This window comes from Homo sapiens, chromosome 15 (genome assembly GCF_000001405.40).
Source record: "Homo sapiens chromosome 15, GRCh38.p14 Primary Assembly".
Taxonomy (NCBI): Eukaryota; Metazoa; Chordata; class Mammalia; order Primates; family Hominidae; genus Homo; species Homo sapiens.
This window is the reverse complement of record NC_000015.10, coordinates 78,800,838-78,812,890: the sequence shown is the minus strand read 5'-3', so window position 1 is coordinate 78,812,890 and position 12,053 is coordinate 78,800,838. Positions and strand designations below refer to the sequence as shown.

The following is a 12,053-nucleotide window of genomic DNA, read 5'->3' as shown; positions in this document are numbered from 1 at the left end:
GAGAAGTGAGTGGGTGCCAGCTACAAAGGCTCATTGTATGCAGTGTGCATGGTAGGATGTGGTGGTCTGAATTGTCCATGTCACTGAGCAGCAAGACCAGCTGGTGTAAGCAGTGGGGAAGAAATGCAAGGTGGTTGGGTAGGGGCCAGGAGTCAAGCAGTAGATGTAGCTGGGAGGGAAGTAGGTGAAGCCAGGAGGGGCTGGTAGGTTGGGCGAAGAGGAAGGTATCAAGGGACTGGAGGAAGAGCAATACATAGTGGGACTGTGAAGGTGGAAAGGACTGCAGAGTCGGGTCTGACAGGGGGGCACCTGAGCTTCGGATTTCCAAGATGGAGCAGTTCTGAGGGATGACACAGCCCAGGCTTTGGCCCTGAGACCTGATGGCTGAGGTGGAGTGGAAGGTCACTGGAGATGAGATGGAGGAAGTAGGTGACCCTGTACTACACAAATTCCCTAGAGGACAGACAGGTTGAGGGTGGAGAGGAAGCCAGAAGTGAGCTTCCAGGAATTGAATGAAAGGGCCCAGGAGATTGGACAATGAGGAGGTGTGCGGGCCTCAGAGGGCAGGGGGCACACAAAGACTAACCAAGGGGAGGAAGCTGACCGCAACCGCCCCGAGGACAAGACGGGCGTCCTCGGTACAGGGCCATGTTTAGTGACGGCAGAAGGGAGAAAGGAAGCTCCTGGGAGCACAGGGGGAAGGGGAGCCGGAAGCCAGAGCCAGGGCTGGGGCCACGAAGGACAGACGGCCGGTGTTGGAGGCGGAGGCTGGCCTGGGATGTGAGGCTGGGGTTGGCCGGCCTCCAGGCTCCCCGGGAGCCCCTGCTGAAAGTCTGTGGGCGCTGGCCTGGGCGAAGCCGCGGTCCCCCGCCTGTGGGCTCAACTCTGCGCTCTGCTTCAAGCAAACGCACTAGGAGAGGAGTCAGGAGACGAGGAACTGCGGGGCCCCACCTCGCGCGGGCAACCGCTGTCTGTCCAGGGAGGGCCCAGGCCTGTCTCCGCAGATAGCTTTGAAGCAGGGCCCCCGGTGTGGCCCTCTGGAGGCCTCCCGCGTCCCCTTTTGAGGGGCTGCCCTGCTTGGCCTGGGGAACACAGCGAAGGGCACCTCGTGGAGCCCAATTTAGGGACAACACATTAATTCTGGAAATTCCAGATTCTTTCCGGGGGTCCTCAACCGGCCGGGGTCGGAAAGGCCTGGCAGGGCTCCGCCGGCAGGGGGCGCTCGGGACAGGGGGGCGAGGGGGGCGGACATCCGTTGCGGGGCGCTGCCTGCGCCGGGCCGGCCAGCCCTTGAGGCGAGCACGGCCTGCGGGGCCGATGAGGCCGGGGCCGGCCGGGGCGGGGCGGGGCCAGGGGCGGGGGAAGGAGTCCGAGGGGCGGGGCGGGGGCCGGCAGCCGCCCTCCCTCACTCTCCCTCCCTTTCTTTCTTTCTTTCTTTCTCTCCTTCTAGCTCTCTTGTCTTTTCTTTGCCTCTGCAGCGGCCAAGGGGGCGGGCCCTGCAGCCTTTGTTGCCCGCGGACCGAGCGCAGCCGAACGGAGTCGGGGCCGGGTCGCCGGGAGCTGCACGCCGGCCGGGCATGTCCTGAGCCGGACCTGGGACCAGGCAGCGACCGGACGGGACGGACGAGAGCGTGCGCGCGGGGTCACCCGGCGGCCGCCCGGTTCCTGCCATGCCCGGCGGCCCCAGTCCCCGCAGCCCCGCGCCTTTGCTGCGCCCCCTCCTCCTGCTCCTCTGCGCTCTGGCTCCCGGCGCCCCCGGACCCGCACCAGGTGGGTGTCCGCCCCTCCCCGGCCAGCCGGGCCTGCCACCCCTTCCCGCTCCCCCAGTCTCGGTTTTGTCCCTCCTCACCTTTGTGGACCCCGCGCCGGCTCCGCTGTGCCTGGAGTTGGTCGCGTCTTCCGCTCCCTGGGTATTAGGGGACAGTAGTCGGGGTCGGGCCGGGCCGGGAGCGAAGCCGCGCTTCTGGGGAAACTTCCTCGGCCCCTGATTCAGTTACTGACACTGCCTGTCGCCTGGAATAAGCCCCTTCCGCTCTTCGGGCTCCGGTTTCCCCACCTCGGGTGCAGCAACGCGCCTGGCTCCCGGGAGAGCTCTCGTCCGAGTGGGCTGGACGGAGCGCGGTTTACCCACTGAGGATTTGGTTTCTCACACTCCTTAGCGAGGCTCGCCTGGAAAGCGGGCTGGCCGGGACACAGCCGGCGAGGGCGCCAGGTCGCAGGTCTTCGCGGGACCCCGCCGCCCCCCCAGCTCCCGCCCACCGCATCTGGGCTGCTGGCGCGGCCCCTGGCGGCTCGGGGGGCCGGGTCTTGCGCGGTCCTTGCACTTCCTGCCTCTCCCTTCCCCAAGTGTGAAGACGCCGGGAGTGGAGCGGGGAGCAGGAGCTTCTTTTCCCGGCCATGGGTTAACTCTCCCCGCCCCGCCGGGCCGGCCTCCGACGAGCCTCTGGCCTGCGTCCAGACTCTTGTTTGGCGGCGACCTGCCGGGCGGCCGCGCTGCTGGCGCGTCCGACGCAGCCGGCCTGGGAATTCAGTAACCGAGGATGTAGGAGACCCCAGGCCCGGTGCTCAGGGAGCTCCCAGTCAGGGGAGCCGGTGGATAGTGGGGAGAGTCCTGCAATAGAGCCGACCGGCAGGCTTTGTAGGAGAGGAGGGGCATGAGGTTGGAGAGACTGGAAGGATGGATGGATTCTGGATGAGCTAGAAGGGCGTGGAGGGAGTGGGGCCCTCCCCTGGGGAGCATCAGTCGGGGGACTGGATTAGGGTTGCTTGCTGGGATGGGGTCGACCTGCCTCCCCACTGGAGGGATTGTGACGAGAAAGTAGTCTGGGCGGGAAGGATGGGGACATTGACTCTTGATCTTAGAGGTTTGGGAAGCCGTTGAGGGGAGCAGCTGATGAAAGCAGTGTTTTGGAAAGATTTGGTCTAGCAGCCATGCGCAGAGCGCAGAGGGAGCGAACATTTAATGAGCACCTACTGTGTGCCAGCCTCACGGGTTCTTATTTCTCATCATCTCCACAACAACCGTGCAAAGCAAGTGATGGAAAGTCCTTTTATGGACCAGCAAACAGGCTCAGAGTAGAGCGACCTGTGGGGTTGGACTCCTGAGCTTCCTGAATGAGGCTTGTGTTTTCCACTGTCCAGAGCTGGGGGCTGAGGAGGATGAACCGGGCGATGGGAATGGGAGAGCAGGAAAATGCTTCCCTCAGGACTTGGGTCCTGGCCCCCTGGCAGCTGTGGGAAGAGTTGGGTGCGGTCAACCTCGTGGGATTCTTATGAGGATTAAATGAGATATTGAATATGTCAGTTGCTCAGGCAGGACACAGTGACTACAATGTAGTGGTCATTATTTTTATTAATCTGCCAGGCCGACCCAGGACTCCCCAGATGACCTGGACCTGCTGTTTGAGGGTGGAGGCAGGCCAGGCACTCTCTCCAACCTAATCTGGGCACAAACACTCCAAGGGTGAAGTCTGTCTCTAGTGTTCCCATAGATATAGAGCATGGGGTCCTTCCTGTTCTGCACTCCCTCAGGATTGGTGACTCTGAGGCTGCTGGCCTGTTTGTCATTTTCTTTGAAGCCCAGGACCTAAGCCTGGGGCTCCTCCTACCACTGAATGTTACCTTCTTTAAGACCAAAGGGCTCATCCTGGGCTCACTTTTAGGAAAATATATCCCTTTTCCCCACTTGTGACTGACCCAGGGACCTGCTAGGGTTTCTGAGGCTGGAGCCCAGTCATGTGTCCTCCTCATGCCGTATGGCACATGTGAACTCTGTGTGCATGTGTTTCTGTGCATACTAGAACTCACAGAGGAGGGCATTCACATACTACCCCCCACCCTGCCAGTTATTTTTCCTCCTTGGCATGAGCTGTGGGTCATTTGAAGGGCTGGATTGTAACTCAGGTTCTTGATAGGGAGGTGAGGGTAAACACCATCTTGGCATTTCTTTGGTAGAAGCTCCAAAGTGACAGTTCTGTCACCCAGGGGAGATATTAAAAGTATTTAACACCCAATGTGGCAGGAGCTTGGTCCAATCAGAACAGACCTCCTGACTTGGCAGAATAGATTTGGCCATGAATCTCTGGCAGTCCTCTTGAATGGTGCCTGTTGCCATCCCACTGTCACTTGAACTCTGCAGGCTCAGCTTTGTTGCAAGCACATAACCGGTCGAGACTGGAACCTGCAATTACTCCTTGCTGGCACTGGGTGGTGCTAGTTTCAGCCACCAACATCTCTACTGAGTGAGGTCAACTAGGCTACAGTGAAAGTTACTTATTTTTAAACTTACCCCTGCACTTTTTAAAAATATTTTAATGGCAAAACAATACAAGTTCACTATAAAAAAAGGTAATGCTGGCGGGCTGCAGTGGCTCATGCTTGTAATCCCAGCACTTTGGGAAGCTGAGGCTGGCGGATCACTTGAGGCCAGGAGTTCGAAACCAGCCTGGCCAACATGGTGAAACTCCATCTCTATTAAAATACAAAAATTAGCTGGACATGGTGGTGCATGCCTGTAATCCCAGCTCCTCGGAAGGCTGAGGCATGAGAATTGCTTGAACCCAGGAGGCAGAGGTTGCGGTGAGCCGAGATCGCACCACTGCATTCTAGCCTGGGTGACACAGGGAGACTGTCTCAAAAGAAAAAATCTGAACAAAACAAGAAAAAAATTATTGCAATAAAAGTGGCAACATCCTGTAAGTCTATTCTTTTATTGTTGATTGAAAAACATGTTTTAGACCAGACACAGTGATTCACACCTGTAATTCCAGCACTTTGGGAGGCCAAGGTAGGCAGATCGTTTGAGCCCAGAAATTCAAGACCAGCCTGGGCAGCATAATGAGACCCCATCTCTACAAAAAAATTTAAAAATTATCCAGGCCTGGTAGTCCACGCCTGTAGTCCCAGCTATTTGGGAGGCTGAGGTGGGAGGATTGCATGAGCCCAGGAGGTCAAGGCTGCAGTAAACCACGATCGCATCACTGCACTCCAGCCTGGGAGATCTCAGAAAAAAAAAAAAGAAATAAATAAATAAAAACATGTTTTTTGTTTTGTTTTGTTTTGTTTGTTTTTAAGCCATTAGGCAAACAGATAAAACAACAAGTTTTTAAAAGAAAAAGCTAAATATACTTTAGAAGTTCTCTTGCTAATTTTCAGTCATAACTTAGCTCACATTTGCTATGTGCCAGCTGTTGTTATAAGCACTTACATACTAACTCATTTAATTCTTACACAACCAAAGAGAGCAGCTGTAATTATTATCATCCCCATTTTACAGATGGAGAAACTGAGATTCTGAGTGGTTGAGTAATTTACCCATGGTCTCACAGATATGGGTAGCAGAGCTGGGATTCAAACACAGCCTCTCTGGCTCTAGAGCTCACTAATCCGAATGCTTTTCACCTGCGGCATAGCTCTACTTAGCCCTGTCCACATTTTTGAACTTAATAGGATGCTTCTTTGTAAGTCATCTGGAATTTCTGTCTTGCAATATTTGCCCAGGATCTACAGCAGGTATTCTCAACAGGACTGTACATCCGCTGGGGCATGGGTTCTTCCCCAGAGATACTTTATTTTTTTTAAGCTTTTGGGGCCTTTTCTCCCCAGTGGTTGATTCCTCAGTTACATACCTGCTTCCATTCCCCAACCACATGCATTTGAGGACAAAACTTGCCTAAAAGAGTGTCATGTAGCTCCCCCAGTTGAGAATTTTAGAGCTGGTTGGCATCAGTGCCCCCCTGACCTTCAGCTCATCTTTAGCTGCCTTGGCTGGGATTGTCCTTGCCCTGGGAACCAACGTTAATACTCACTTAAAACAAGTGTTGGAGGGTGGGCATGGTGGCCCATGCCTGTAATCCCAGTACTTTGGGAGGCTGAGGCGGGTGGATCACCTGAGGTCAGGAGTTCGAGACCAGCCTGGCCAACATGGCGAAACTCTACCTCTACTAAAAATACAAAAATTAGTTGGGCATGGTGGCTTGCACCTGTAATTACAGCTACTTGGGAGGCTGAGGCAGGAGAATTGCTTGAACCCAGCAGCCGGAGGTTGCAGTGAGCCAAGATCATGCAATTGTACTCCAGCCTGGGGGACAAGAACGAAACTCTCTCTCAAAAAAACAAAAACATAAACAAAACAAAACAAAAACAAGCCTTGGAGTTGTAGCCTCCACGAACTGTGATCCTTGGGAAAGTTAGGAAATCTCCCACTGCGAGTGAACCTGGGAAGTAGTTCTTCCCTATCTCTGTCATTTTCGTCTCCTTGACCTGGGCTCCCTTCCTTACGTTTTCTGGCCTGGATTCTCCAAGCAGATGAGGAAACAAACCCAGAGATATGCAGTGACTCAGATTATACAACTATTAAGTGGCCCACTTGGGCCTGCCCTGGGTCTTGTTACTTTCAAAGCCCATGCTCTATAGTGCATTATTTTGTCCCTCCATTGCCTCCCATTTTACAAAACACATGCCTGGACCAAGATTAAACTTCTTGTTGCCCTTTCTTACTTCTGGCTTTTCCCCACTTCTCTGAGGGTTTACCACACAGTGCCCCTACCACCATGAGGCCCTTCTTGTCTTCACTGTTGAATTAACATATGTTAAGGGACATCTCAAATGCATCCTCCTTGATGAAACTTTTCTTCATTCCAATGCATCCATAAGGTGTCATCCTTTCCCCTTGCTTGGACCTTGTCAGCACTGTGCCAGAGTGGGGGTCTTGGGTCTACTGCACCCATTTTTCTGTTTTTTTTTTTTTTTTTTTTTTTTTTTTGTGTGTGTGTGTGTGTGTGTGTGTGTGTGTGTGTGTTTTTGGGGGGGGGAGTCAGAGTCTCGCTCTGTCATCCAGGCTGGAGTACAGTGGTACAATTTCTGCTCACTGCAACCTCCGCCTCCCAGGCTCAAGTAATCCTCCCACCTCAGCCTCCGGAGTAGCTGAGACTATAGGCATACACCACCATGCCTGGCTAATTTTTGTATTTTTGTAGAGATGGGATTTCACCATGTTGCCCAGGCTGGTCTCGAACTCCTGAACTCAAGCAATCTGCCCTCCTCGGTCTTCCAAAATGCTGCGATTACAGGTGTGAGGCACTGCGTCTGGCCATTTCTCCATTTGAAGGCAAGGATGGTGTCTTACCCACTTTCCTGGACTTTGGAGCACCTAGTGCCCCCTCACAGTTAGTAGCCAAGGGTCACATACCAAATGCCGTGGACTAGGCAGGTAACGTAAATGAGCAAACAAGGTGGGTAGGGAGACAGATTTTTCCTGAAACATGGGGCCTCTTGGCCTATCTCTTGTTTTCCCACTTTTCCATTCTTTACTGAGTGAAAGGAAACACAAGCATGATGGGAAAGGGAGCCTACTTGCAGCCACAGTACTGGGAATGAATATGGAGTGGTGGGGACTGAGGACCGGGGAGCATAGGCCCTTCCTAAAGGGAACTCACTGCTCCACCCCAGCCACTTCTGCCAGGGAGCAATTTAAGCCTGACATGGATGGATGATAAGACTTTTCAAGAAAAGCTGAAAATTGAGATTTTTGTACAAGATCATGTGATTCTTAAACATTGGCAATTGACTAAAACGTTTTTCAATATTTGTGTCAGCCAAAACAAACCAAAAAATCAATAACTGATCAACACAAGCAAATCTGCACGCTGTGGTTGAGGAGTTGTAGTCCCATATGCCCTTATTAGGATGTCAGAGCAAGAAGTCGCCTTAAATCATCCAGTCCGGTGGCTTCTGAATGCCAGCCTCTGAACTGGCTAGATCAGAATCCCTGGGAAGGTCTAGAAAAACACAGAAAATACACATTCTAGGGCCCCCAGAGCCCTGGATCTGTGCAACCAGAATCTCTGGGCTGGGTCCTGGGCATCTGCAGTTTTTCAGAGCTCTCCAGGTACTGCTGATGACCAGCCAGGTTCACTCCCAGTGGGGGATTTCCTAACTTTCCTGAGGATCACAGTTCCCGGAGGCTCTTGGTAAAAACATAGCTTCCTAGTCCCTAGTCCTAGTTTCCTGGAAATGCTGATTTAGTGAGTCTGGGATGGGGCCTGGGAATTTTTTTTTAAGAAATTCATCTGTGAGGTCTGGAAAATCCTTGCACTAGTGGCCCGCTGAAGCTCAATGATGGGGAAGATTAGCTCAGAGCCACACAGCACGTTGCCCCAGCCTACCCAGTCTCTTGACTCTCAGAGAAAGCTCTTTGAGGCTGGCATCGCTGCGGCGGTTGTGAGCAGAGGGAGATGCTCTCAGCAGGGGCACAGCACTGGCATGTGCAGGGCACTCTACGTGCAGTTCGGCAGAGGACAGACTGGAGGGCAAGTTTGGTTTCCGCAGCCTGCTGGGATGGAGCTTCGGGCTGGGCAGCAGCAGAAGGAACCCTGGTGGGATGTCAGCAGGGCGCTCAGGCATTCATGCGAGCCTGAAGAGTCTATTGTCGTGAACAGCCAGGATCCTGGGAGCTGGGTATAAATCCAATCGAGAAACTCCGGATTGCCAAGTTCCCTAACTGTGCTCTTTAGAGCCTGGGAACTGCAGAGAGGGAAAAGAGGGGGGAAAGCATGGATGCCAGAGCTCCCCCAACCCCCGGCACATGAGATTTCTCTTGAGACTAGAACTGGTGTCCAAAGAGATTTGAGAAACGTGATCTAATTCAACTCTTTCACATTAATGATGGGGAAACTGAGGCCCAGTAAGGGATGGACTGTTGAGAATATAGAGCAATGTTACTGAAGAGACTGAAACCATTTGGGGGACTTGAGTCTCAGTCTCAGCACTGCCACTCTCACTGTTACTGTGTGGCTCTAGGCCAGTCTCTCCACCTCTCTGAGCCTCCCTTTGCTGTCTCACCTAGGAAGCAGTCTGGACACCTTACTGCAGGTGTCCTAACCTGGGGTCCACAGCCTAAGGGACCGTGAACTGAGGGGATCCGTGAACTTGAATGGGAAAATATTACATATTTACTTTTTGTAATCTCTCAACGAAATTTAGCATTTCCCTCAATTATGAATATTATTAGCAAATCCCAGCAGCACCTGTGGTTTTGTTACCAATACAGCAAACCAAATATTTTTCTATCTCATTACAGTTGTTGCACGTATCTTGAAATAAGGTTTACGTTCATCACTACTTCAAAATATCCATAGTTGCCAGGCACAGTGGCTCACGCCTGTAATCCTAGCACTTTTGGAGTCTGAGGTGAGTGGATCACTAGAGGCCAGGAGTTCAAGACCAGCCTTGCCAACATGGCAAAACCCCGTCTCTACTAAAAATACAAGAACTCGCTGGGAGTGGTGGCATGCAGCTGTAGTCCCAGCTACTTGAAAGGCTAAGAGACAAGAATTGCTTGAACCTGGGAGGCAGAGGTTGCAGTGAGCCAAGATTGAGCTACTGCACTACACCCTGGGTGACAGAGAGAGACTCTGTCTCAAAAAAAAAAAAAAAGACCATAGTTGTTAAATTTGCCACAAAATCTTGTTTAAAGTATAATTCCACACCCTACTTTTTAAATTATTTTTTGTTTTGTTGTGTTTTGTTTTTGAGATAATGTCTCACTCTATCACCTAGGCTGGAGTGCAGTGGCGCCATCATGACTCACTGCAGCCTCGACCTCCTGGGCTCAAGAGAGCCTCCCACCTCAGCATTCCAAGTAGCTGGGACTATAGGTGTGCACCACCTTGCCTGGCTAATTTTTTTTTTTTTGTAGTGACAAGTTCCCATTATGTTGCCCAGTTGGTCTTGAACTCCTAGGCTCAAGTGATCCTCCCATCTCATTCTCCCAAAGTTCTGGGATTACAGGTATGAACGACTATGCCTGGCCTTAAATTATTTTGATAACTGTATTTCAATCTAATCAATTTCCTTGGTACTCCTGTATGTTTTATTTTATTTATTTATTTTTTTGTGGCAGGGTCTCACTCTGTCGCCCAGGCTGGAGTGCAGTGATGCGATCTCGGCTCACTACAACCTCCACCTCCCAGGTTCAAGTGATTCTCCAGCCTCAGTCTCCTGAGTAGCTGGGATTACAGGCAGGCACCACCAAGCCTGGCTAATTTTTGCATGTTTAGTAGAGATGGGGTTTCACTATGTTGGCCAGGCTGGTATCAAACTCCTGAGCTCAAGTGATTTGCCTGCCTCGGCCTCCCAAAGTGCTAGGATTACAGGCATGAGCCACCGTGCCCAACCACTCCTGTGTATTTTATTTTATGCATTTCAAAACATTGTTCTGAGGAGAAGGGGTTTGTGGCAAAAAAGGATAAGAATCCAGGCCTTACTAGGAAATCCAGGAGGACAGAGCAACAGAGAGGGGTTTTTAAACTGCAAGGGCCTGAGCAGAGGTCTGCCAATTTTTTCCATCCCTGGAACCTTTCTTTAAATGAATTCTTGCATGTAAAAGAAAGAAACCAGAGCTACCCTGTTGAAGTGGTGGTTAGCGGCCAGGGAGCCCCAGTGGGGTGGTCTTTCTCTGTCTCCCCAATCCAGGAGGCCTGGAGACACTTGCAGAATGCTCACGCATCTGAGAGCACATTTTTAAATCCGTCAGGCTAATAATAATCATAACAATCATAATTGCCATCATATTCAACCAGTGGCTCAGGCACTGCTAAAGGGAGTAGCTCCACCAGGTTTAATCCTCACGACAGCATCGAGATTGTAAGTGCTGTGGTTATCTGCATTCTACAGAGTCATTCAATAAATACCAAAAAAGGACTAAGTTCTGGACACTTCCTCTAACACTTAAATCTTTAACAAAGAATATAAAGGGCCAAGTGTGGTGGCTCACACCTGTAATCCCAACAATTTAGGAGGCTGAGGTGGGAGGATCGCTTGAGACCTGGAGTTCGAGACCAGCCTGGGCAACACAGCAAAACTCCCATCTCTACAAAAAAAAATAAAAAATTATCCAGGGCCAGCCTTGGTGCCTCACGCCTGTAATCCCAGAACTATGGGAGGCTGAGGTAGAAGGATCACTTGAGCCCAGGAGTTTGTTTGAGACCAGCCTGGGTAACATAGTGAGATCCCATCTGTATTAAAAAAATTAAAAATAAAAAAAAATTAGCCAAGTGTGGTGGCACCCACCTGTAGTCCCAGCTACTTGGGAGGCTGAGATGGGAGGATGGCTCGAGCTCAGGAGTTGGAGGCTGCAGTGAGCTATGATTGCCCACCTGCACTCCTGTCTGGGTGACAGAGCAAGAACCCATTTCAAAAAAAAAAGCAGGGGCAAAGAATATAGATTCTTGCCTTCCTAGACTACACTGGGAGGGAAGGGAGAAAACAAATAAATAGAAAAAATAATGAAAATGCTAAGTGATATGGTATGTCAGGAGTGCTGTGGGGAAAAATAAAGCAAGGAAGGGGGATAGGGAGAGCTAGGGAGTTGCAATTTTAAAATAAAGTCGTTAGAGGAGGCCTCATTGAGAAGGAGACATTTGAACAACAACCCAAAAGTGAATGGTTTAGCCATGTGGAAAACAGAGAGAAGAGTGTTCCAGGTGTAGGGAACAGCAATGCAAAATCCTGAAGCAGGAGCACGTCTGGCCTGTGGAGGAACTGCAAGGAGGCCAGTGGGTGGAGTGGAGGGAACTAAGGCTGTGTAGCTGGACATGAGATTGGAGAGGTCACCTTGCCTAGGGCCTCATACAGGCTAGAACTTTGTCTTTTGCTCTGAGTGAGATGGGCGCCATTGCAGGAGAGACGATGAGTAGAGTAAGACGATGAGCAGAGTAAGACGATGATCGCGCTGGTTTTGAATGAATCTTTCTGGCTGCTTTCCCTTGGTGAAAACACGAGGGGAGGGGCACCTGGGGTAGGCAATAGTGAAAACAGAGAGACCTGTTAAGAAGTTACCGCAGCAATCCAGGCCGGGCGCAGTGGCTGACGCCTGTAATTGCAGCACTTTGGGAGGCCGAGGCGAGCGTATCACCTGAGTTCAGGAGTTTGAGACCAGCCTGGCCAACATGGTGAAATCCTGTGTCTGCTAAAAATACAAAAAATAGCTGGGCGTGGTCGCGTGTGCCTGTAGTCCCAGCTACTCCTGAGGTGGAGGTTGCAGTGAGCCGAGA

General features: G+C 51.7%; 1 protein-coding gene across 2 annotated transcripts in view, besides 1 other annotated feature; it reads left to right on the top strand.

Moving 5' to 3' along the window:
- Positions 980-1,399: a silencer, noted in NCBI's record as "silent region_6715". NCBI's record gives its function as "represses an Ori minimal core promoter by ATAC-STARR-seq in GM12878 lymphoblastoid cells {active_cell/tissue: GM12878}" and the evidence as "EXISTENCE:reporter gene assay evidence [ECO:0000049][PMID:35858748]".
- The window catches only part of ADAMTS7 (ADAM metallopeptidase with thrombospondin type 1 motif 7), a 52,259-nt gene continuing 41,632 nt past the window's right edge, over positions 1,427-12,053 (top strand). For both annotated transcript variants that reach the window (NM_014272.5, XM_047432122.1), the window contains exon 1: positions 1,427-1,770. In NM_014272.5, coding sequence (NP_055087.2) covers positions 1,671-1,770 — 100 coding nt within the window. In that variant the 5' untranslated portion in view covers positions 1,427-1,670. The remainder of the gene's footprint in view (positions 1,771-12,053) is intronic.